Here is a 24,931-nt window from a genome sequence, read left to right on the forward strand (position 1 = left end):
CATCTACTAATTTTTCTTCACAGTACTTGTCTGATTGCTTCCCCATGCTGTCCAACATAGCTTGTTCCTCTGTTCTCTGTACTTCCTATAAATTGTGATTTAGATCTGAGAGTTTGGTTGGTTCATGTTAATACATTTAGTCTAGAATACATCTTGGGCACTGTCATATGTTTTCGTTTGAAGTTACATAAGAAGACACATGCCATCTAGTGCCCACCATTACTGAAGCTCAGATTGTGTGAGCACTTCCTGTGTGATTCCATTTAAGTGAGGTTCTGAAACAATGCTCATCTGTGGTGATAGAAATCAAGACAGTGATTGCCTCTGGTAATGGTGGGAATTGGCTGGACAGGATACTACTGAACTTTCTGGGTTGATGGCAATGGTCCGTATCTTTTTTAGGGTGCTAATTACATACCTGTATAGAGTGGTCAAAACTGAATAATATCTGTGCAGCCTTTTAATTGTATAATTTAAATTATGCCTTTAATTTTCTAAAATGGAGCCCTTAACAAACTCGTGAAGCAGTGACACAGTCCACTTTGCTTATTAGTCTAACCCTGGCTGCTGTCTCATTCTGAATCTTTTAATACTCTAGCAGTCTTACACTCAACTACCTGTGACTTTTTAAGGCCAAGGTCTTAGCTTCCCTAGTAAGTAAATGTCCTAAAACAGAGTTATGATTATGCCATCTCAATGCCCTTCACAACAATGGTTGTCGACCGAGGCTGTGTATTATTAGAATCACCTGGTATGTTAGTTGGCTCTGGCTGCCATACAAAATACTATAGACTGGGTAGCTTAAACAAAAGAGATTTATTTTCTCACAGTTCTGGAGGCTGGAAAGTCTGAATTCATCATGCTAGAGTGGTCAGGTTCTGGTGAGGGCTGTCTTCCTGGTTTGCACAGTTTAAGTTTCCCCATAATATGCAGCCAGGATTACAGTATTGAAGGTGGGGTCTGTGGACCAGCAGCATCGGGATTTCCATGTTAGAAATGCAGAATGTCCTGGTCCACCCCAGATCTGTGAATTCAACTCTGTATTTTAACAAGACCCCCAGATGGTTTGTATGTGCGATAAAGTTTGAAAAATACTTGTCTACAGCATCTTCCATAGTCTCCCAAACAGGTGTGCAAATGCTTCATCAATCATTTTTTGTTTGAGTTGAAATGGATGAACCTTTTGTCAGCAAACCAAGTTTTAGCCTTTTTAGTCTTGGAAGCCTGTCATTGTGTGGATCTTGATTACAAATAATTGTACCTTAGTGTGAAGATTTTATGCATTGCCTATATATTATTGTCTATTAGCAAACAAAAAAAAGCAGCAAATACACCCAGTACTAAAAACAAGTCCTAATGTTTTTAAAAATATACTCCCACCCCAGCGATTCCATCCCTATGAATAATTACTTCCTTAGCTTCAGGTAGGTTTTAAAATTGATAATGAAATAGAATATGTACTTGCGCTCCAGTTGCAGAAGGGAAGAGAAGTGGCTCTTAGCACAGAGCATGAATACTCTGTAGCTAATAAATAATTCAGTAAACCGGGGAAAGGAAAAACATGTGTGCTTAAATAGCAGAGACACCCTAATGCTTAAAATATTATTACGTGAGACTCTGTCTCAAAAAATAAAATTAAATTTAAAAAAATTCTTATGGTGAGAAATCAGTATTGTTATATATGATAATATTATGTAGCATATAATGCTAGTTTAAAAAATTATTACAGTAAGTATGCTTAATACTAGAAATATTGAAAAACATGTAGTCTTGATGCTTTAGAAAGAAGTTCAAGGTCTTGTCATCCATCAAGATCATCAATATGGTTGTCAGTGTTGCTCATGAAGTACTAAATAAAAGATTCCTAGCTGACAGACACTAAAAATTATTAATTTCCACCTTCCGTTTTCCCATCTATACCCAATTAGAGTTACCTAATGGTTATAGTTCTTTATTTTTAAGAACTATTAATTTCTAAAGCCTTTATATTTAAAATACCCTCTTAATTCCGTATAGCTACACATTTAAACTCCAGCCTCAGGGATAATTTCTGCTTCTGGAAATTGGTCTTCTCCTTCTCATTTTCCTTTCCACCGTTAATTCATAGCTTCTCACTTGTTAATATGATTAAATAGTTTGCTAAATTATATCAAAATGGCTTTCTCGTTTAGCTCATAGCATTGTTATATTCTGTCCAATAGGCTGAAAATAAAAAGAAGCTAATCTTTATTAAGCACACATATATGTATACACAGAAACAAATTCACCTTTTAAAAAAAGGGAGCCTTGATAATGTTTCGTATTTAAATTCTATTTCCCAAATGGATAGGGTTGACATTCATCTAATTAGTGATCAGATTTAACCAAACAAGTTTTTGTTGAATGCATGTAGTGTGCCCAACAGAAATACACAGAAATACACTTTGAAACCCAAAACCTTTTACATTCGGTATGCAGAGAGAACTTATATTCCAAAATTGCAAATTATTGAATAAAGACCTTGCTGGTTACTGGTTCAGTAAAAATTTATTTAAAAAGATTTATTGGGTGTCTTTTTTCATTACCTTCTAAAACAACACTAGAAGATAGTGGTATTTCTTCCTTAAACACTATGTAAGAACATTTACATTAATAAAATAGTGTACAGCCAAAATTATTAAATTTACTTTTTTTATTTTTAGTAAATACTTTTTATACTTTCATTAATTTTTAATGAAATATAAATGAATTTCTTAAAATAAATGGAAACATTGGAAAAAGATATTCAATGGAAAGTATGAGTTCTCTCAGAAATGTTTTATGCATATATAAAAATCTATGTTTTCTATATAACTTTATGTATTACTTTATTCCGGTTTTTCCCCCACAGGTGGAAGTATACCATGTAGTCTTCTCTACCTCGATATTTTTTACTTGAGTAATTTTGGAGATGCTTCCATATCAGCACATGTAGATCACCTTATTTTCAATGCTATGTAATATTCCAAGTATGGATTCAACCATTGCTATCAATATACATTTAAATGTTTTTCCCGGTTTTTACAATCTTGTAATAAGTGATGTTGTGATAAATAACATGTAGATATGTCTTTGTATTTCAATGCAGAATAGAATATCGAAAATTGCTATGCCAAAGAATATGTGCATCTATCATTTTTACATATTATGCCCAATTTCCCTTCAAAAAGCTTGAGCCAGTATACAGTTTTTGAGCCAGTACCCAGCAGTGTTTGAGAGTGTTGTTTGCCTGGTGGGCACCCATACATTGCTTGAATGATTCTCTCCTTTCTCCTTTCTCTCATCAATGTCTCCCTTTCTCTACTGGATCATTCTAATCAGAGCACAAACATGTTGTCATTTCTCACATCTGGAAAGAATAATTCCTTAATGGACTTCACTTGCCCTTTCAACTACTGCCCCATTTGTGTGCTCCCTTTTGCATCAAAACTTCTAGAAAAATGATGTATAAACTCCATGTCTTCATTTTTCTTTTCATCCTCTCAAGTATTCTCCAGTTAGGACTTTCAGCCTTGCTACTTTACCAAAACTGCTCTTAGCAAGTCACTGATGACTGTTGCTATATCTAGTGGTGAGTACTTGGCCTTTGTCTTACTCTGCTTGAGCAGCCTTTGATAGAGCTGATCCATTCTTGGACCACTGTCTTCACTTGGCTTTGATGATACCACCCCCTCTTCTGACCTTAGCTGCTCCTTCCAACTCTCTGTTGCTGATTTGTTCCTGTATCCATGATGTCTTGATGTTGGTGTGCCTGGGACCCAGTCTTTGGACCTTGTCCCTTCTGTGCTCCCTCCATCAGTGATCTACTGTAATCACATGGCATTAAATACTGTTTCTACCCTAAAGACACCCAAATTGTCCGTGGCCTTGGTGTCTCTCTTAAAGGCAAGGCTTGTGTCTTGTGCTACCTACTTGATGTCTCTACTCAAATACCATAGAGAAATCTCAAATTAAACATGTCTAAAATTTGGTCTTGTCCCTAAAACCTGCTCCTCCCATACTCTTCCCCACATTAGGCAACAGTCATTCCATCCTTCTATTTACTCAGACAAAAACCCTTACACTCATTCTTGACCTCACCCTTTTGTTCACACTCCAGGCCATTAGGAAGTCTCATTGGTTCTACCCTCAGAAGATATCCAGATTCTGACCACTTCGCATAACTTTCGTCTCCAACACCCTAGTACAGGCAGCTGTCCTCTCTGCTCTGGATTATTTCCACACTCTCCTGCTTCTACTCTTGCCCCCACCATCTGTTCTCCCTAGAACAACACAGCAGCTGTGCGATTCTGTTAATACTCATCAAGTCATGTCACCCCTCTGATCAACCCCCTACAGTGGCTCCCATCTCATTGAGCATTTAAAGGTTGTATGTGATATCCCCCCAACCCACACACACAGAACATCCCTCTCTGATCTCACCTCCTGTTACCCTTCTTGCTCACATTGCTGTGGTCCCAGTAGCCTTTTTGCTGTCCTGGTGCCCATGTAGAGCAGAATCCAGAAACAGACTTGTGTATATATTTAAATAGCTCATTTTATTCACTAAAGAGAGGAATTGATAGGCTCTCCAACAAATGGGGACATTCAGGATTGAACTCAGACAGCCTAAAGTCTGGACCTCCTGGGGGTTGCTCCATGAAATTGCCTTTCACTTTGCTTGGTCTTTTATTTAACACTCAGAAATGCCTTGAGGTAGTTTTGCACCCAGAGAGTGGGTAGGCACATTTGCAGACTCTTCAGAGTAATCAGGTGTGAGAGAGGGCCAGGTGGGTATTAAAACCCATGAGTTGCTTCTTGGGCCATGGCAGAATCCTCACGGCTCATGGTAGGACCATCCACAGCTGCCTTTCTCCATGGTCCCTTGGGGATCTGGGAAACTGGCTGTGTCTGAGAACATGCTGTTTTGTAGTCTGCCTTCTCTATGGAGATATAACCATCTCCATATGTTTTCACACCATTTGCCATTATTACTGGTACATTGAACAAACAGGTCTTAGAGGGTTCAATTATAAAGCAACCTTATTTGTGCTTCCCAATATCTTTTTTTTTTTTTTTTTTGAGACAGAGTCTCACTCTGTCACCCAGGCTGGAGTGCAGTGGCACCATCTTGGCTCACTGCAGCCTCCGCCTCCTGGGTTCAAGTGATTCTCCTGCCTCAGCCTCCCGAGTAGCTGGGACTACAGGCACATGCCACCATGCCTGGCTAATTTTTGTATTTTAGTAAAGATAGGGTTTTGCCATGTTGGCCAGGCTGGTCTCGAACTCCTGAACTCATGTGATCGTCCCACCTCGGCCTCCCAAAGTGCTGGGATTACAGGCGTGAGCCACCGCACCTGGCCCCCAATATCTTTTAAAATCCAATCCTTGAGATATTTCTTTTTCATTGCCTGGATGAAACTCAGGCACGCCACAGTTTCTGGCCCTTCCAGGATGTAGGGAATGTAGGGAGATAGAGTGGTAAGAGCAGAAAAGCTCTTTCTTGATTGGCATTAATGTGGTCAGGTTTCTCCAGAGTTGGCACATGTTTCAAGCCAACTGTCTTGTTGGGGCTTCTTAAGAGACCCCACTGAGAGAAGACCTCTTCATTAAAAGACTTCTTGATTTTAATGGATGATGGGTTCCTGGAGGGGCAGAACCAGGTGGCAGCTCTTATCCAGGAGCAAGGTGGGCACAGTTGCCGTAATGGTCATAATGGAGCAGCAAGCGGAACGTCGTAGCATACAGAGACCTTTGCTATTGGCTCACTATTCATAGTGGCCCTAGGACAAACTAGACGGGCAGTCTACTAAGAATTATCTGATTTATATAATCAGAAAATCTCTAGGTCTAGTGAATAGAAACCTGAGCTGTTCAATGGAGAGTCATTGCCTCTCATCTACATTCCAGACCTGAGTCAGTTCTAAAACACAGAAATCCTTAGATTGCCGATTTTCAAACCGTGGCCAAGAAGTTGCAGCAACAGCATCACCTGGGACTTTGTTAGAAATGCACATTATCAGACCCTGCCCCAAACCCACTGACACAAGAACTCAGGAGGTGGGTCCTAGCAATCTTCACTTCAGCTGATTCTGATGCATGCTAAGGCTTGAGAACTCTAAAGTTTAGATGAAGGAGAGGATTGGGAAGTTTGAGGAAGGCCCCTATAACATTGCTATAAGTATCTAGCATAAATCTTCCTTTCAGTCTTCCCCAAAAGACATGCAGCCATTCACTAGGGTAACTGTGTACTGAGGAAGGGGGCATATCCAGGCTTTTGGTAGATTTCTGGACATTGGTTCTGAGTCTATGCTAATCTCTAGAGACCCAAAATGCCTCTGACCCATTGGAGGGGGGTATCACTTATTGGTAATCAGGTAGTAAATGAAATTTGGACCTGTGGCTGCTTCATTGGATTCCAGTGGGTCTCTTCACCTGCGATGTGGTTATCTTCCCATTCCTGAATGGAGCTGTCATCTCAGAAACAAAAAGAGCCCATCTCCATATGGATTTTCTGTCTTGTGTGGTGAGTATTAGTATGGTAGGCAGGGCCAAGTGAAAGCTTCTTGGGATTTCCCCTTCCTATGTAAGAGTAAACTGAAAGCAATACCTTATCCCTGGGGAAATGACAGCGATTAGTACTTCTATCTAACATTTGAACAGTACAAGAGTTGTTCTACTGTGTCCTCATTTAGCTCCTCTGTCTGGCATGTACAGAAGGAAGATGGTTATTGGAGAATGACTGTGAATTCTTACAACATTAACAAGTTACTAGACCAGATGTAGTCTCTTTTATTGGATAACACAGCAGAGCTCTTGGCACTTGGTATGCAGCTACGAATCTGGTGGATGCTTTTTCCCCCCGATACCAAATTAGCAAATATCACCAGAAGAAGCTTGCTCTCAAGCAGCTGGAGGAATGGCAAAACACCTCCCTATCTTACCTCAGGCCTGCGTTACCTCTCCTGCTCTCTGACGAGAACTAGTCTGCAGGAGCCTGGACCATCTTGGTATCCTGCAGAACATCCTGCTGATGTGTAATTGACATGATGAGCAGCAAGGAGCAAATATCGTACATGCCTTAATAAGACAAATGTATGCCAGGGGGTGGGAGATGATCCCCAAGAAAAATCAAACGCCTATTGCTTTGGTGAAGATTCTAGGGGTCCAGTGTGGTCTGGAGAATATTGGCATTTCCTCTCCAAAGTGAAAGACAAATTACTGTACTTTGTACCACCTATCACGAAGAAGAGCTATAATATTCTGTGGGTCTTTTTATTTTTGAGGTAACATAAACACTTTTAGAGTCTATTGTTCAGAGCAATGTTGTGAGTTACCTACTACGCTGCAAGTTTTGTCTAGGGACCAGTGCAAAAAAGGGCTCAAGAGAGAGCAGGGTTTCTCAGTCTTGGCACTATTGACATTTACGGGACAGGCAATTCTTTGCTGTGGGGCGGGCCTGTGCATTGCAGGATGTTTAATAGCATGCCTGGCCTCCACCTACCAGATGTTAGTAGCATCACTCCCCATAGTTTTGAGAACTGAAAATGTCTGCAGACATTGCCAAATATTTTCTGGGGTGCAAAATCACCCCCATTTGAGAACCATTGGGCTACAGCATGTCTAGTTAAGCTTTAAGGTGAGAATCATTGGGCTACAGCAGGTCTAGTTAAGCTTTAAGGTGACTACAGTACTGGCTGACAACTGGACTGCAGCCTCGTGAGAGACCCTCAGCCAGATTCTCCCAACTGTGCTGTTCCCAGATTCCTGACCCTCAGAAACAATGTAAGATGATAAATGCATGTTGTGAAGTTTTGGGGTAATTTATTACTCAGGAAACTCAGACAACTAATACACCAGTCCTCTGAGCCATAAGGTTAGGCATGCATGGCAGAAATCCATCATCAGGTGTAAGTAGTAAAATAGTATATACCAGGTTCGGTTTGAGCAGGTCCTTCAGGCACAAGTAAGTTTCAAGAGCAAGTGGCTGTGACTTCCATAGCATCTATTCTTGCTGCAATTTTAATTCACCATCAGTCCACATCTGTGACCTCTTAGGATTGACTGTTGACAGACTAAGAAAACATTTGGGCCTGGTTCGCAGATGGTCCCTTGCAGTTTGCAGGCACCAGGTAGATGTGGACTGCTGAAGCATTGCAGCCCAAATCAGGAACGTGGTAAGAGGAGCTCTCTCAGGACCAAACACTGAGCATGTTATCTGGAGGGAGAGATGGCCAGAAGTCGAGATATATACCAATTGATGGGTCATTAATGGTTTTATTAGCATACTGGTGACAACGAAGTCTAGGAAAAAGGTTTGCAGATGGACCTTTCCCTATGGGCACTATCACATATGAATTCTCATTAGAGGGCATCCACTGATGAGGCCCTCAGCAGTCCACTGACAGGATAGCCTGTTCTGTGGATGTCAGTCAGTCCATTTCCAGCAACCCCGAGGCTTGCTTAATAGGCTCATGAAGAGCATGGCCATTGTGGCAGGGAGAGAAGCCAGACATGAGTTCAACAATGTGGACTTCCCCTCATCAAACTGGTCTGGCTCCTGTCACTGATAAATGACTAACTTGCTGACAGGGGCTCTACCATCTCTGAGTCTCTGATGTGGAGTCATTCCCCAGGGGGACCAGTCAGCCATCAGATTATTGCATGGAACTTCTATTATGAAGGACATGATTTTGTCCTCTAGAATAGACACTATTTATTTTTTCTTTCTTTCTTTTTAAATAGAGACAGGGTCTCACTCTGTCACCCAGGCTGGAGTGCAGTGGTGCAATCATAGCTCACTATAACCTTGAACTCCTGGGCTCAAGTGATCCTCCTGCCACAGCCTCCCAAGTAGCTAGGACTACAGGCACTCACCACCATGCCCAGCTCTTTTTTAAAAAAAATTTTTTTGTTCAGACAGGGTCTCGCTATGTTGCCCAGGCTGGGACACTATTTCTAAATATGCTGTGCATTCACTGCCTGCAGTGGGTTTATCAGTACCACCATCTGTGAACTTAACACAGAGCCTTATTTAATAGCATGATGATTATGACCAAAGAAGTTCTTTGCTTGTGACCAAAGAACTAATTTTACAGCAAAAGTAGTACAGCATTGGTATCATGCCCATGGGACTTATTGGATTACCATGTACTCCAGCACCCAAAGGTAGTTATCATTACAAAATTTAGAAATAGATAACTGAAGTTTCAAAAATGGTACCATCTGGAAGATAACTGCCTGCAGTCTAGGTGGCTTTCTTACTGCACGTAGATTATGCTTTGAATCAGCAAATGAGTGATGCTATGTCTCTCATAGTCAGGATACACAGACCTGGGAGTCAAGGGGTAAAAATGAGAGTGGCTACTCTCACTATCACATCCTGAATATCACTCACAGAATATTTGCCCTCCTTCTACAAAACATAGATCAGCTGGTTTAAAGGTCTTGATTCCTAGGAGAGAACGCTTCCTCTAGGGGAAACAATAACGTTCCACTGAACTGGAATTCGATACTTCTGTCTGCCCATTTCAAGTTTCTTCTGCCACTAAATGGACAGGCAAAGAAGAGGGTTACTTTTCTGGCTGGGGTGACTGAACAGAATTATTACCAGGGAGTAATTGGGTTGCCGTGACACACAATGGTGGCAGAGAGGACTATGTCTGAAGCCCTGGAAATTCTCCTGGGTGCCTCTTAGCACTTCCATGTCCAAGAGTAAAAGTTTCTGGAATAATATTGCAACCTGCAGGACAGCTAAAGACTTAGACCCTTCAAAAATGAAGGTTTCAATAATCTTGCCAAGAAAAGAACCCCAGACAACTAACTTCAGTTGCTGGCTGAAGGTAAAAGGAAGATGGAATGGACGTTGGAAGAAGTTCATTCTCAATTATTATTTAACTATTATCATCATCAGTCAACTAGTTTTGTTACCAGTCACCAAAACAAAACCCGTAGCAGCTATGCACATTTTCTTCTTTGTTTACTCTGCATAACACTGAGTGTTGGTGGTTAATTTTACAACTTAGCCTTTAGGTTGTAGAACATCCATTATAAAAGGTGCAATGGTGTCTGAAAGGAAAAAATTTAACATCACCCTGGGATGAATACAGTGGCTGAGGCCACTATCTTACAGGGTTTTACTCTGAATTATCTGTTTTAGGGAGAGAGTGAACTTGTGTTCATCTGTGTGAGGAATAAAATTGCATTCTGTGAGGAAGAAGTGTGATGTTGCTGTAGGGTGCGTACAATGGAATGTGTGGATGCTGAGTAGCAAAAGGGTGGATGTGCTGGATTGTGTCTCTTGACTCTTAAGTCCAAGTCCACCCTTCTGGATAATCCTCCATCCTCTTTCCCAGACTCACTCATCCAGCTGGTTTCATGGGAGGCGCTGGTGCTAGGTTCCAGTGTGGGAGGAGGAGATTAGCCATTTTCCCCAGCTGGCCTGGACTGCCTGTGCTCTGGGCTCCAGCAATCCGGGGATAGTTTCAGCAAGATCAACACTGAGTATCCCTGACAGGATTCAGCCAAGGGCCAGTGGCAGCTTCCCAGCCTCTTTGGGTAAGAGCCCCTTCTTTTTTTGCTCCTCAGTCCTTCCAGTAGTTTTTAACCAATTTCCTGTGTTCCATCCTACTCTGCTTGAGATATATAGAGAGGTTTCTACTTTTGTGTTTGAGCACTGAATGATACATAGTTCCTTCCATATCAGTCCATAGTGAGCTTCCTCATTCTCTAGTCAAAAAAAAAAAAAAAAAAAAAAAAAAAACCCAAACAAACAAACAAACAAAACAGGAATACATCATATTTATATGAGAAGACCCAATAATGGATATTTAGACTGCTCTCAATCTGCTCTTTTAATCAATAAGAGTAGTAAGTACATTTCCATTTCAGGAAAGTATTATCAAGGCATATATTTGGAAATTTTTGTGTCTTACCCCACTTGGAATTTTACGCGCCAGAGCTCTTATGCAGGAATCTAAATGGCTGAAATAGGATTAAACTAGACTGTGGAATCTAGAGAGCGTTCAACTGCAGCTGGTTATTTATTGCTTAATAAGTATTTTGAAGTATTGTTCGGCTATGTCCTAGCCTTATCTCTTCCAAATGAATTGCAAGCACTCGGAGCTTGATTTTTTGTCATCTTTTGAATATGTAAATGTGTCATGTTGGGAGGGGGGTTGGTAGTACCTCCCTCCTCTGTGATTCATGTCACCTGAATGTGTCATCCTACTGGCAGTCTAGGAAGAGCCCTGCATAGGTCTTAGGTTTTCTCTTGAGGAAGGAGCTCATGACACAGCCAGCACTTCCACATAGGATAGTAGCTCAAATAGAGGTCCAGTTTGTTTTATTATTGGGCTTATTCCAAATTCCTTTCCTGGGGCACTGTGCTTTAGAAATGCTTTTTTCTTAATTATGAAATATTTTAATTGATTTGTGGGCAGTGCCTCTTATTCAGCCTGTGCAGCCAGTCCCTTTGGTCCAGCTCAGGGTTGGAGGACTGCCTGGACCTGTTCAACGCCCTCAGCCCCGTGAGGCCGCCTCAGGCCATCTCACCCATCTGACACTGCTTCCACTGACCACAGAATGAAGGCCTCTTTAGCTCTTTGCTAGCTCCATCCCCCAACTCTGTTTCTTGATTTTATCTTCTTTAATTAATGAAGTGCACTTTTGCTATCTTCTTAACTTTTAGGTATTCAGATGATTCTGCCGTTCCATTTCCAGCTCTTAGACTCGTTGAATGTTCTAAAATGGGAAAGGCTGGGTCCTGTTTATAGTTGCCTTGCCAACTCCCAATCAGCCTTTTCCTAAGGAAGATTTTTCTTTAGCCAGTCTACACTTTCATAGCAACTTAGAGTGTGACAGGAATCCTCAAACATTCAGAAGTGACTTGGCCGGTAGAGATCCGGAGTTGCATTTCTAGCATGAATATCCAGCCTTGTCCCTTGAGGGTTCAACTTTAATAATCTTTAACATAATCCCTTTAAAACACAAATCCCTGGCAGATCCAAGCTGCTTTGGTACAAAAGTTCTAGAGATTAAAACCAAAGCTGCTTTCGGTGGTAGTGCTGTTATACTGTCAATCCCATTGCCAGCCAAATTAACAGCATACATTTCTGATAACCCACCTAATGCTGGTAAGCAATCAATAGCCAGATTCATTTAACTCTCAGAAGCTTAAGTGCTGTTAAATCACATTTCCTGTTCATGGGGCTGAATCCTAGAAGATGTGCAAGAGTTGTTTTTTCAAGTACTCAGTGGAAAAAAGAAAGAAGGCATGTAAAGGAAAAGGTTTTAGTACTTATATGTTATATTGATTATATATAACATTTATATTCACTGTAATATTGAACAAAAATAGTTTATACTGATCATTTACTACACGAAACAGCATTACCTAAGATAAATGGTAACTGATTTGCTAATTTTCTAGATAGTCACATTCACAGATAAGTTCACAGCTGGATCAGATACACCGTTAACAAAAACTGGTTTTTAAAACTATCAAAACAGGAAGAACATGGAAACTTCATCCCTAAATCCTCAATGGCACATTGGAGATTTCTTAACGCGTATTGCTTTTCTTTTCACTGGAATTCCACATGCAAGTTGTGAAGTGCAAGACTGAACTATTAGAAGCTCCAGATTTGACATGATCGCAAATTAGTTTTACCTCTTGCTGGTACATATTCCCTATGTTCAGGTTCATAGAAATCCCAGAAAACACATAGGTCTCCATCTGAATTTTGGTCAAAGGATTCAGTTCTACCTCTTTCATCCTGGCCCAGTTTTACTGCTGGGAGTCTCACTGGCTTTCTCTTTAGCCGTCAACAAATTTGGAGCAAGCTTTTCTCTCTGGGAAAAGATTACATATGGCAGTCTGGATTTTAGTTTATATTTTCATTATAAATGAGAGAGTCTTTTAAAAAGCCACTTAAGAATCACTGCACAGCTTCATGTGGGATTTGGCCAACGGTTGTTGGGGTTCTAAGCTATTAAATCAGCTTTTTTCTAACTGCGAAAAGCAGAGGTTGAAATTTTATATTTTTTCAACTCCTCAACCAGTGGCTTAAGTAGTTGAGTTATTAAGAAGAAAACAATATGGAGTATTTTTCAGAATTAGACATTCGCTTTTGGTTTGTTTATCCACAGATGAAAAGAGTTGAGAAGATTTCATCTTAGCATATCTAATTTGAATTACATCTCTTCTACCAGAATCCTTTTCTCGGGCATAATGTAGCGGGAACCATCAGTTTGTTATTGCTGGCAGGTCTCAGCTTGTAACCAACAGAGGAATATTCCAGTCCTGCCATGACACAAAATAGAATTTGTATTCGTACTGGAAGAAAGGGTTGACTTTCTAAATACCTTATTGTAGTTTATGAGTTTAAATTAAGCTAGATTTTTTAAAAAATCTATTTGTAAGGGTCTCATTGCCTCTAAAGAGCAAAACTAGGTCAAAACTTCCCTTAACTTAAAGGTGGATAAACAATTCTATTTCACATAAAATACCATGAAATTGAAAAGATGACCAAACTCACAATTTCCCATTAGAAAATACCTCAGTTCATTCAACAATAAATATGAATGAACATTTACGAAGTGTCAGGTGCTCCACTAGGAGCTGTGAACACAGGACAGAATAAAACAGACAAAAGTACCTGTCCTCGTAGCTTTTCTTAAGGCTTTCTGGAATGAACTAAAACATTAATGAATTGTTAATATGAAAAACAAACTAGTTTTCTTCATTAAATGGGTGTAGTTGCCAATGTAATAAAAATTATAAGTTAAAAATACTATCCAAGAATTTCTGTGACACCAAGACCTCTGAAGGTCTTTGCTACTGTGCTGATTGCAATGAACAGAACTTTTATATCCATTTGTTCTAGGAAAGTGTTGTTCTCTGGATACCATGTTGCCAAAGAAAAAAATATATCGTTTCTGGGTAGATTCAGAAACAGAGCTGTAAATGATTCTGGCAGGATGAGCATGGAAGGGAGAAGATATTAACAACTGGAAAATGGCCTTGTTGCCAGAGGCTCCATATGATGGCATTAGAAGCCACATGATAGAATTAGACTTGAGGTTATATGCAGGTCTGGTTAAGCTCAAAGCACCCATCAACTCCTTATGAACTGATTATAAGACAGCCATAGAGGCAGCTGAATGCACCTTTTATTATCTCAGTCAGGGAAGTCTTCATTTGAAATCCAGTGTGTGGGGAGAGTGATAAGAAATCATGCCTATATTCCTAGATGACTACCATCCTACAATCCCACCCACCCATCCCTCAGTTTCTATCTTCAGCCCCATCACACAGGACCCGCTCATTCGGGAAAGTTCCAACCTAGAACATCCCCATTGCTCCAGGGAAAGAGGAAAGAAGAACAGAAGCAGCAGGAGGAGGAGAGAGAGGGAGGGTGGAAGGAAGTACTTCTGTCTTTGCAAGTGGTTTAGGTGTTCTGGGTGGTGCCAGCTGAGATGCAGCTGCTTTTGTCTTTGGACATCCTCCCACCTGGGCACCTGGGCACCTGGGCGCCATTCTCCATCTGATGCTAATCATCTCCACCAAACTGTGGGTTGTTTGTTGGTGGTGATTATGGAGTTTGTTTTTTACCCTTATATTTCCCATTAATTTTGTCCTGGCTTAGGTTTGTTTTCCTTCTGGTAATACAAGTCTTGAATAAATTCATTTGTTGCTTATGGGCAAAAGCAAATCTAACACAGCCAAAGACATCTTCAGACCTTAAGAATGTTGGTTCACCTGTAAAATTTGCATCTACTCCAAGAACACTTAACAGAGCCCTCCCTTTTGGCTGTCAACATGCCCCTTCCACTTCTCCTGGGGCTAAGAGGCCACCTCAGAACAGGTCCCACAGCTTCTCCAGAAAGAGCTATGCCCAAAGCAGATGGAACAATAGGAGGCTGCATCAGAGAAGAGTGTAGACTTGCTGTCTGATTTCTATTAAGTTCTTTCTGATTTTTTTTTTAAAAGCCAGGCACATGTTTATTTTCATAGTCAAAGAGTTGTAATCTTGGACATTGAAAATAAATACATTTTATGTATTTTAATTTATGGCTGTACTCTTAGGTAATTTTACTTGGTTTGAGCTCTGTTTCATTGTTTTACAAAGTGGTCTGGCTCCTTTAAGAAGCCACAAGTTGTAGACATTGAATCAAGCTGAGTCATTCATCCAGAGAGAGAATTAGGAACAGCTGGGGGCGGCCACTAGCAGTAAAAGCAGAGGCCTGAGAGGAACAAAATGCCTCTCTAGGAAATGTTCCAATACTTCAACCCCAAACAGAGAGAGGAAAATCTCACAGGCACCATCTTGCTAATGATGGCAAATCCCTGAGAATTGTGAAGCAAGGATGTTCCTGGGCCAGAGACCAGACTCTGGCACCTGCAGCCAGGGGCCAGGAGGGGTCGTGTGGGCCAGCACACCGCCACAGGATATTGGTCTTCAAAGGGTTTGGTGGCCCACGGGTCTCCCTTTCTATAAAATTCAGGGCTACTGAGCACCCTCTGTGACCCTTGAAAGGGTCAATTGCCTCATGACCTCTTTGCCCCAGTTGTTGGAGCCAGTTAGAGAGAAACTGAATTTCAGTGAGTTAAAGGATGACATTAAAAGTTGCAGTATGATTAAATGAAGACAACAGGACATGGTATTGTCTCCGGTGTGGAAAAAATAGAATCTGCAAACAATAAAAGACTAGAGGAATAATAATACTGTGGTTATATCTGGGCTATGGGCATTTTGGCCATTTTTATGTTCTGTGTATTTATTTATATTTTTATGTGTTATGTCTTACTTCTCAGTGTGGAATAAATATCCACATTTGGTCCCTCCCTTTTTCAGTCAGTATTTTCTAAGCACATTCTGTGTGCCTGGCACTCTGCTGGGGAAGCAAAGGAAGCAAGTCCCAAGGCTTTACCTTGAGCTGCCACCTTCTATGGCACTGAAATCACCAAGCTCTCCCTGGGGTAGCTGAGCTTCTCTTCTCAGGGCCTGGGCCCCTTGCTGGTCCTCAGTGCCGGTCATGGACTCTGCCCAATACAAGTGAGATTCATGGCTGCCCTTCACTCCAGCCCTGCTCAGACATCAGCTGTCAGGAAGGACTTTCCTGGCCCCTCCGTGGATCACACTCTCACCTCCCATCAGGCTTTACTCTCCTTACCCTGCTGAGATTTTCATTATAGCACTTAGCAATATGTCTTTCTGTATGCATGTAGATATGTATGCATGTTGAACACTGACCTCTCACGGGAATGCACTGTCTTTGAGGAAGGGTCTTTAATCCTGCTCATTGCTGTATCTCCACGACGCAGAACAGTGGCATGCTAAGTCTTGTTGACTTGAAGTCAGGTGCTCTTCCTCAAGGGGAAAAGTTGTATTAGGTGTACTTGAATATATAGAGAATGAATCCCGATCCACAAATGCAGGTGATAAGAAATGTGGCTTCTATTTTCTACAATGATATTTTTAAAATTATGAATTCCCACTCTGCTGGCAGAGTGGAAAATTTCAGAGGGTCCTCTGCCAATCAGGCCATCACATTGTGCCTGTCCCCAAAGTCCCTTCGTGCCTGGCGGCCTTCTGCTGCTTCTGGGCAAGGCTGAAAACCTCAGTACCTGTGGCCCCCGCTCCCCAGCTCCTCCAGCTGGAAGCTCTTCCTCTCCCGGCTCTGGCCCAGACCTGGCCCCTGCCAGGAAGAACCTGCCGAACTTGCTCCTTGCCTCAGCTAGGGGAATTACCTTTTAGTCTGACAATTCTTGCCTGTTTTTCCAAGCCATTCTGTTTCCTCAAACCCAATCCTCCCCTTGGACTCTGGCTTTTTAGAAGACAAAAGCCAGAAATGCTCCCAGGGTCCTTCTGCATCTCATCCTGCCGCTCACCTCCCTAAAGCAAGTACACGGGTCAGCTATACCTGCTCAAAAGGGCAATGAAGAAGGAAAACGTCAGTAACTCTGACTAAAGGCAGAAACGTGCTTTCTTGGAGTGAGACAGAGAATGCACAGAAGAACATGATTATAAGCAGGGAGTGGGTAAAGAGAACAGGGAAGGAGGGAGGCTTACTGGCCCTCTTATGCTTTTGAGCTGGGTCTCAAAGGCTGGGCGGGATTTCATTTGACAGAGCACACCGAACAGAAAGGCAGGAGCAGAAAGAAAATAGAAGTGGTGTTTGCATGAAGGTAAATCATCTCATCTGACTAGACACATTTGAGCAGTGAGAAAATAAACCAAAAAAAGTAGGCTGGAGTCAGTTTGTGGCAGGCCTTCAGAGCCCAGGGTGTTTTGACATCAACTTAAGTAGTTGGCAGCCATTGAGTCAGAGAGTGAGTTGATTAGACTGCTGTGTTAGAAAATGAAATAGCAACGCTGTCTAGGATGGATTAATGGCTGGGACTGTTGAAAGACTAGAGCAGGGAGACCTTTCAGTAGGTTGTGCAATCATCTAGAAACTGGAAGGAAAAGGAGGAACGAGCTGCAAAAGATACTGCTGAAGAAGAGTAAACAGACTTTGGCCACTGGGTGAATATAAAAGAAGGACAAGAGAAAGCTGTTGATGGTAAGAATGTGGATGTTCTCACAGACCAGGGAAAACGAAGGGAAGCTGCTGGTTTGCGGGAGGATGAACAGGCTGGTCATGTTGAATCTGAGTTTCCATCAGGACAGCTGGAGCTATGGGCAGGGAGCTCAGAAGAGAAGGCAGGACTTTCCCTGTGATAGGAAGAGAACAGGGTCATGATGCTGTGGGAGTATGTGGTGGTAAAAGAGGAAAATTGAGGGATATGGTGTTGGTTGCTTTGATCTTCTCAGTAAGGTAGGAGACAAGGCCATTCGCTGAGATAAGGGAAGCCACACTGTGTCATCTTGGAGTTTGAGAGTGGACATGGTTTGAAACAGCTGCACCAGTGAACAAAAAAGGTGTCAATTACTGAGGAGCAAATGTGTAGACCTGTACAACCTCAAGTGTTCTCTCCCATAAATACAGAATCCTTTTATGGTGATTTAATAAAATCTGTCCAGGCAGATGTGAGAAGAAATAGCCTTTAAATCGCATATCTAGTTTGAGGCATGTATTATGTTTTATACTCTCTGATTTCTGGTAGATAGTTCTCTCTTTCTTATTGCTATGCCATTTATTAGCAATTTATCTGTTTTGTAAATTTATCAAGATGCTAGAATCCCTCAGCATGGTACACATGAAAACGTAGCAACCAGTCATTGCCAGCTCTCATGGTATGTTTCCCGCTGTCGAACTTCTGTCCCCAGAGACGCTTGTCATCACCTGCTGTCTACTCCAAATGCCAAGTTGTTTTCTTCACTTGGTGGCTTTGGGCAGAGGGGGAGAAATGGCTCATCACAAAGACCAGCAGCACCTTGGGCTTCAAAGGTGGGGGTTACACCTGCACCTGGGGCTAGGGAGAAAGGGGCAAGCTTAACATTCATCTCACTTTCTGGGGTGGTACCAAACGTTGCTGCTGGTGGTTCAAGAACTCATCCCATTTCACCTCCTTTTGGTCTTTTCCAAGGCTTCCCACACCTTCCTTGTCTCTCTATATTCTCATCTCTGTTTTCATTTTATGGTACCTGCTGTTGGGGATCTAAGGATTTGTTTGGAGTGAGAAGTAGGGGAGAATAACACAAACCTCTCTGCATTCTTAGCCTTACTAGCATTTTCTTTACTAAAAGACAACTCCATTGGAGTTGTTGGCACTGGTAGTTTTAAGCCACCTGGTTTCAGTTTACGTAACTGAGTATGTCCTAATCACACAGGATTACTGAATTGTTTTTCTCTTCCTTTAATGCTTCTACATTGAATATGTGACTATCAACTCTTTTTTTTTACTCTAATCCAGCCCAAGAAGAGAAAAACGTTCCACTGAAGGGTAGGAAATGGCAGAAAATTTGGAACCGGGGCTCAGAATCGCATGCTTCCCGGGATGGTGCACCTTTCTCTTCTGACTGTCCAGTGAGGGAAGAATGTGATCTAGAAGCAAATCCACATGGACCTTGGTTTACTTATGAGGCCAAAACAGAATTGCATTTCTCATTCCTTAAGAAACTAGAACTCTTAAGGAATTGTTCTGAGGCTCTAGCCTAACAAATATTAACATTTTTCGGGGACAGAGGAGCTAATTTAAGGGAACCGTGACTGATTAGAGATTCCTTTTCCTCTGCCCTAACAAGGAAGACACATTCTAGTGGAATTTTACCCTGAAGAAACTACCTCATTGGAGCAAACAAAATCCACCCTTCATCCAGTCCAAGATCAGCTTCCATTTTCCAGGGCAACATCACTCCAAACCTTTTTTGATAGAATCTACTTTTTTTTTTTTTTTTTAACTTTTGTTTATTTTTGCCCCAAAGCCTTTGGCATTGTCCTCCAGTGAGTCACACTATGGAGCCATTTCAAAATGTCCTCCTTAAAGAATGTTTCTCTTCCCAGGGGAGATGGGAAATTGGTCAATGACAGCATGTTCTGGCATGTTACGGTGCAACGTGTGAGGATTTTAGTAAGGAGATGCCATTTCACACGCCGCCAAGGCCACTTGATGGATGGGCTTGCAGGGAAACAGCCTTCTAGATCTTTCCTGGCTCTACAGAGACAAGATGGAAAAACTAAAGCATGGCCATTAGGGGTTTCTTCCAATCAGTGTAATAAGGGAATCAGTCCTTCTACTCTCCCATGACAGAAGTTTAGGGCAGTCATTTGCAAATTCAGATTTTGCAACAAAATAATTAAATCATCATGGGATGGAAGACAAAAATAAGAGGAGAGAAGGCAGATACTGGCGTGTTTGGAGGCTTAGCAGGCTCCAGCACAGTAATGCTGATGCCCAGGCCTGTACCAGTGATACTCTCTCCCCCTGGAAGGTCTCCAGTCTCACCCCCACTCCTTGGTTTGGAGTAATTAGTCATCCTCTGTCCTCTGTTCTCAAAGCACTTCGGACCTTCATCTATTAAAGTAGGTGGCACACTGGGATTATTTATGCAGTGGTCACCAGCCTTCCCTTCATAAGCATCTGTCCCCATTTAGAGCACCTCAGCGGCAGAGCATAGATTTGTCCTCATATCTTCAGCACCCAGAGCACGTCTTCAAGAAGATTAACATGGCACATCCTGCTGTAAGATGGAAGTGTGACTGAGGCAGGAGTCTGGGGCAATTTCTGTTCCTGGTGCTGAGTGTCTAGATTTCCTATTCTTATCACACAACATCCCCGCATACTCGCAGGTCCCTCAGGCACTTCTTTTGCTCCCTTTGACTCATGTATGAAAATTTAAAGTATCATCAAACATTACTAGGTGTACATGTGAATTTTGATTGTGAACATTCATTGGGAAATTAGGGAAATCACCAGTGTGTATTCCCACTGCATGTCAAAATGTAGAGACTGGCTTTAATGTTTTTACTGAGCTTTAATATCTGCATATGGTGGATGTTTTCTGGCTCCTGGCTGCGCAACATCCAGGCTCCCTTTCTTCTAGTGACAATGCCCTGGGTTTATTTTGTTTTGTTTTGTTTGGTGGTGGGCAATTGTCTGTCCCCCATTGGGTGCAGTCCTGATGACACTGAGTTCAAGGTGGCCCACCCTCCCTCCTCAGCATGAGATGAGTTTTCAGTGGCTGCCACTGGCTGTGGTGTGGGATTGGTGAGAGGAAGCTTTTACATTTGAGTTTTTCGCAATGAACAGCTCTTTCTTTTGCAATTTGAAAATTAAAGATTTAAGAAAAAGATTAACATTTGCCCAAAAGACCTGGCTAGACGCAGTGAAGTTCCTTGTGAATCTGTGTGAGCAGCAGCCGCAGCCCTGGCTTGCTGTCCTGACACACACAGCACCCAGGGGAATGCAGACGGCCCGCGTCATACTCCTGAAGTTGCCAAAAATCCCTTTAAAATGATTGAGCAGATGTCTTTTCTTGGGTTTGAGCAGATATAAATCACAGCAGTCTGCTTTTAATTCCTAGGGTCGGTGTCTTAGAGGCAACAAAATCAATCCCTTTCAGGTTGGTTTTCTGAATGTTTTTTAAATCTTCAGAATTTTAATAACAATAACTGCTACAATATGCAAGAAAAAGTAAACCCATCTGTGCAGGTAGCTATATTTCACCCCAGGGCACACACTTCCTGTGTGATGGTGGAGTTGAACAGGCAACTCCCAGTCATCTCTGCAGCTGGCCCTGACCACCAGAGGTCAACCCCTCAGGGGCCCAGCATGGAGAATGAAATGGTTTCTGAGCTTAGAGCCAGAGGCTTACATGGCACAAAATGGACACAGCCCAGGCCCATGTATCATTAGCAGTAAGAGTTGGCGGGGCGGGGGGCGCTGTTATTCACAAGAAGAAACAAAGGGAACGCCAGACTTTCCTCAGGAAATCAGAGTTTAAGTCAAGCAGCTCACCACAAGATCTTAGCCCTTGGTTTCTGGTCTTACCTGTCATATTTTTGGTGGCATTAGAAAAGATAACTTGGGGACTTCACATCAATCAATAATTAATTCAAAGCTCTTAGTACTTTCCAGAGAATCACAATTCAAATTTACATTAGCCCCTCTTGGGTCTCCAGAGCAGATACTGCATCAAAAAGTTTCCAAGGGTCTGGTTTACACCACTTTCAAAGTAAAGCCCATTAATAATGGCAGTACAGACCCTAATGCCTACCCACTGATAGGCGAGAAGAGCTGAGGGATCCGGAGCAGGGTGCCTGATGGGAAGAGGATGGGGTTGAACAGAGACCCACTTTGATTCCTGATGGGCTCTGCCATTAGCTGTGGAAACTCAGGGGTGTGTGTGCGTGTGTGTCTTCCTTTTCTTTCTTTCATATAAAAGAAAGCATCATATATTGTTAGATGCCTTGCGTTTTTTTATTTAATAACATAACGAAATTGGAACAAAGTTTAAGGCTACTTTTAGACTTTCTGTCATCTCAAACAGTGGTCTCCAAATCTTTTTGCTGTCAACTTTATTAAAAAATTACTGAAGATACATATATAATATATATTTAATATATAATATATTCCACTTTGATTAAAATTTCATAATGTAAATATTAATACAGCAGTGGCATGATTATACTCTATAAGTAATTATATATAATATATAATAGATTATAAGTATATTGTTATATATTTATTTATATATAGATATATAAAAATTATATATTCATACATTATAAATGTTATATAATTATATATAATGATATAACATATAATATATAATTATAAGAATTAGATTTATATATTATATCTTATAAATGTTATATTATAAATATATCATATATAAAATTATTTCATTTATAAAGTAATCATGCCACTACTGTACTAACAATATTTACATTATGAAATTTTAATCAGAGTGGAAACTGCAAAAGGATAAAATAAAGATAAATTTTAAATACTTTTTAAAAATTGTATTTGATTTTTAATGGTAAAAAATGCTTTCTAAAATATTACTGTTAATATCTTCGATAGGACCAATGTGTTGAATATGCCTTGTCATTTTCAAAAAGTCTTGGGTTACCCTTTTGTGATATAGTCGTTCATACGTCTGGCTATACATACAGTTTATTTTAATGCTTGGTTTCAAAGTCCATCAGAGCTGAAAAAGACACTTAACAGAGGTATGTAGGTCCAATAGAAGAAATGCCTCATCAGATGAGCTTCACTAATTCCCAAAACTCATTTTTCAGTCTCATCTATTACACAAAGACAATTGTTGAAATTTTCTTTGCTTTTAAGGGTTTTTTAGTTTTGTTTTTGTAATGTGCATATAGTAAGATGGGAACATTTCCAAACATCTGTTTTCAAAAGGCTCTTGCCATCGATTCAATTTCTTTTGAGAAGAAGTTAACTTTCTCACTAATTAATTTCACTAAGTGAAAATATCACTTCTACCTTGAAAAGATGGACTGTGTGTTTACTTTAAAAAACGTATCTGCTAGGCGACATACTAACAATCGCCACTTGCCATGACAGCACGTCTGCAGTGCTTGTCTTTTTGTCAAAGAAGGGATCCAGGACTCAACCTCAGGTTCCACAGCTCCTTTAAGTGCACTGCCATGAGATAAGCAGTGTGGTACAGCAGTCCCCCTTGACCACTGGCCATCAAATTGCAGTGTTATAATCATCCTACTCTTTGAAAGGCTTTGTTTTTATGAAACTAATCATATTGATAACATCCTATATGAATGTCAGTTGCAATTATTGGCAATACGCTACTAGACGCAGGACCGTGAGAAGACGCTTCGGTGGACCTCCTCCATGTGCCTCTCCCTCTTTGCAGATGTGGTCTACCTACAGCAATTGCAGTCACATAAGACATCTGACTGTCTCATGTCTGAACTGAGGGAGGGCATCATGAGAATCCAGCATTACATACTAGGAAAGCCTAATTGTGTTCTCATTTTGAAAGGAAGCAAATATAGACAGACATTCTAGTATTTTCTCCTTGGACTGTAACGGATTGTCTTGAACATCTGTGGAGGGCATGCACTGTACTTGGAGAGTCTCTACACAAAGGACTCTCTACAATTAAATCCAAAAACTAGTTTTTCTTTAGTTTCCCTTTCTTCTAAAGTAAAATACTTGCCAGATTCAATCTTTTCCTTTCTTCTTCTAAAGTAAAATACTTGCCAGATTCAATCTTCATAGAACTGTATCCTCAAATGAGTTGGCTAGGGTTGCCCCTGGAAAGTCTGCCAACTTCTGCCCCCACCGCCACCTCAGCGCTCCCCACTGGCCTAGTACCTGGGTCAGGGTGATGATAAAAATGAAAACATCTACAATTTCCATGTATTGAGCCATTATCCTGTGCTATTCCCTATGCTAAGTGCTCTGGAAAGATATCAATTCTCTTTATCCACTGTAGCTATGTTCTGTAACATCTATGCAGACAGAATTAGCAAATTCTGAACCATTGCTTCTAAGGCAAATACAGGTTTAGGTTCCTTCAAGCTTGTGGGTCACAACATTCTTGTCACCTGATCAATACATAACCTTAAGTGTGTTTCTTAGTCACCTTTAAAATGTTGATTCATTAACGTGGAACTCAGGGCCAACAGCACTTTAACTCATGCCTGAAAAAAACAAAATACCTGCTTGTATTTTCTCTGTAAGTCGCTTCACAGTCTTCTTGCACACTAGTCAGTACTTCAGCACCGTGCTTGAGGCCATTTTAAAAAGCAAAATCAGCCACAAAAAAAGCACAAAAATGCGAAAAAAATGTGGCACTAAACAGACTTAGCAAAGGACAATTGGGCTGGGTGTGGTGGTTCACACCTGTAATCCCAGCACTTTGGGAGGCCAAGGTGGGAGTATCACCTGAGATCAGGAGTTCAAGACCAGCTTGACCAACATGGCAAAACCCCATCTCTACAAAAATATAAAAATTAGCTGGGCTTGGTGGCGCGCACCTGTAATCCCAGCTACTTGCGAGGCTGAGGCAAGAGAATTGCTTGAATCCGGGAAGCAGAGGTTGCCGTGAGCCGAGATCACACCACTGCACTCCAGCCTGGGCAACAGAGCGAGACTCCGTCTTAATAAGAAAAAAAAAAAAAAAGACGATTTTTTACAGTATGAAAGCTGAAACAAGAAGGCAGAGCGTCTCCTTCTTTGACCCCAGCTGGGAATGTATATGTTGGGCAACTGAAATTTTTTGCCACTCTGTACATGACCTCAAAAGAGCAAGTGTATTGATATTGGGGTTACAAATACATTTTTTAGCAAGTAGACTCCATTTGCAAACATGGAATTCTTGAAATAATGAGGATAAACTGGATCATCTCATAGTACCCTTGTAAATAGGTACTACTCTAGTGACATGTGAACCCAAAAGAACCTCAGAAGTCTCCTCTTCTGGCTACCTTCCTTGAGTTTTTGGGAGGCTGGTATGGTGAAGTGACTTCTCCTAAAACGTCCAGTGCATGTGTGATC

At 41.3% G+C, this 24,931-nt stretch overlaps 1 long non-coding RNA gene across 1 annotated transcript in view, besides 1 other annotated feature; it reads left to right on the forward strand.

Moving 5' to 3' along the window:
• The first annotated feature begins 10,422 nt into the window (after positions 1–10,422).
• The window catches only part of CPVL-AS2 (CPVL antisense RNA 2), a 33,403-nt gene continuing 18,894 nt past the window's right edge, over positions 10,423–24,931 (forward strand). Inside the window, exon 1 of the long non-coding RNA NR_038965.1 lies at positions 10,423–10,554. This is a non-coding gene — a long non-coding RNA (CPVL antisense RNA 2). The remainder of the gene's footprint in view (positions 10,555–24,931) is intronic.
• Positions 16,667–17,166: an enhancer, noted in NCBI's record as "H3K4me1 hESC enhancer chr7:29025827-29026326 (GRCh37/hg19 assembly coordinates)". NCBI's record gives its function as "activates a minimal SCP1, AML or CMV promoter by ChIP-STARR-seq in naive H9 embryonic stem cells {active_cell/tissue: H9 hESC(naive)}" and the evidence as "EXISTENCE:reporter gene assay evidence [ECO:0000049][PMID:30033119]".

Source organism: Homo sapiens, chromosome 7 (genome assembly GCF_000001405.40).
Source record: "Homo sapiens chromosome 7, GRCh38.p14 Primary Assembly".
Lineage (NCBI taxonomy): Eukaryota > Metazoa > Chordata > Mammalia > Primates > Hominidae > Homo > Homo sapiens.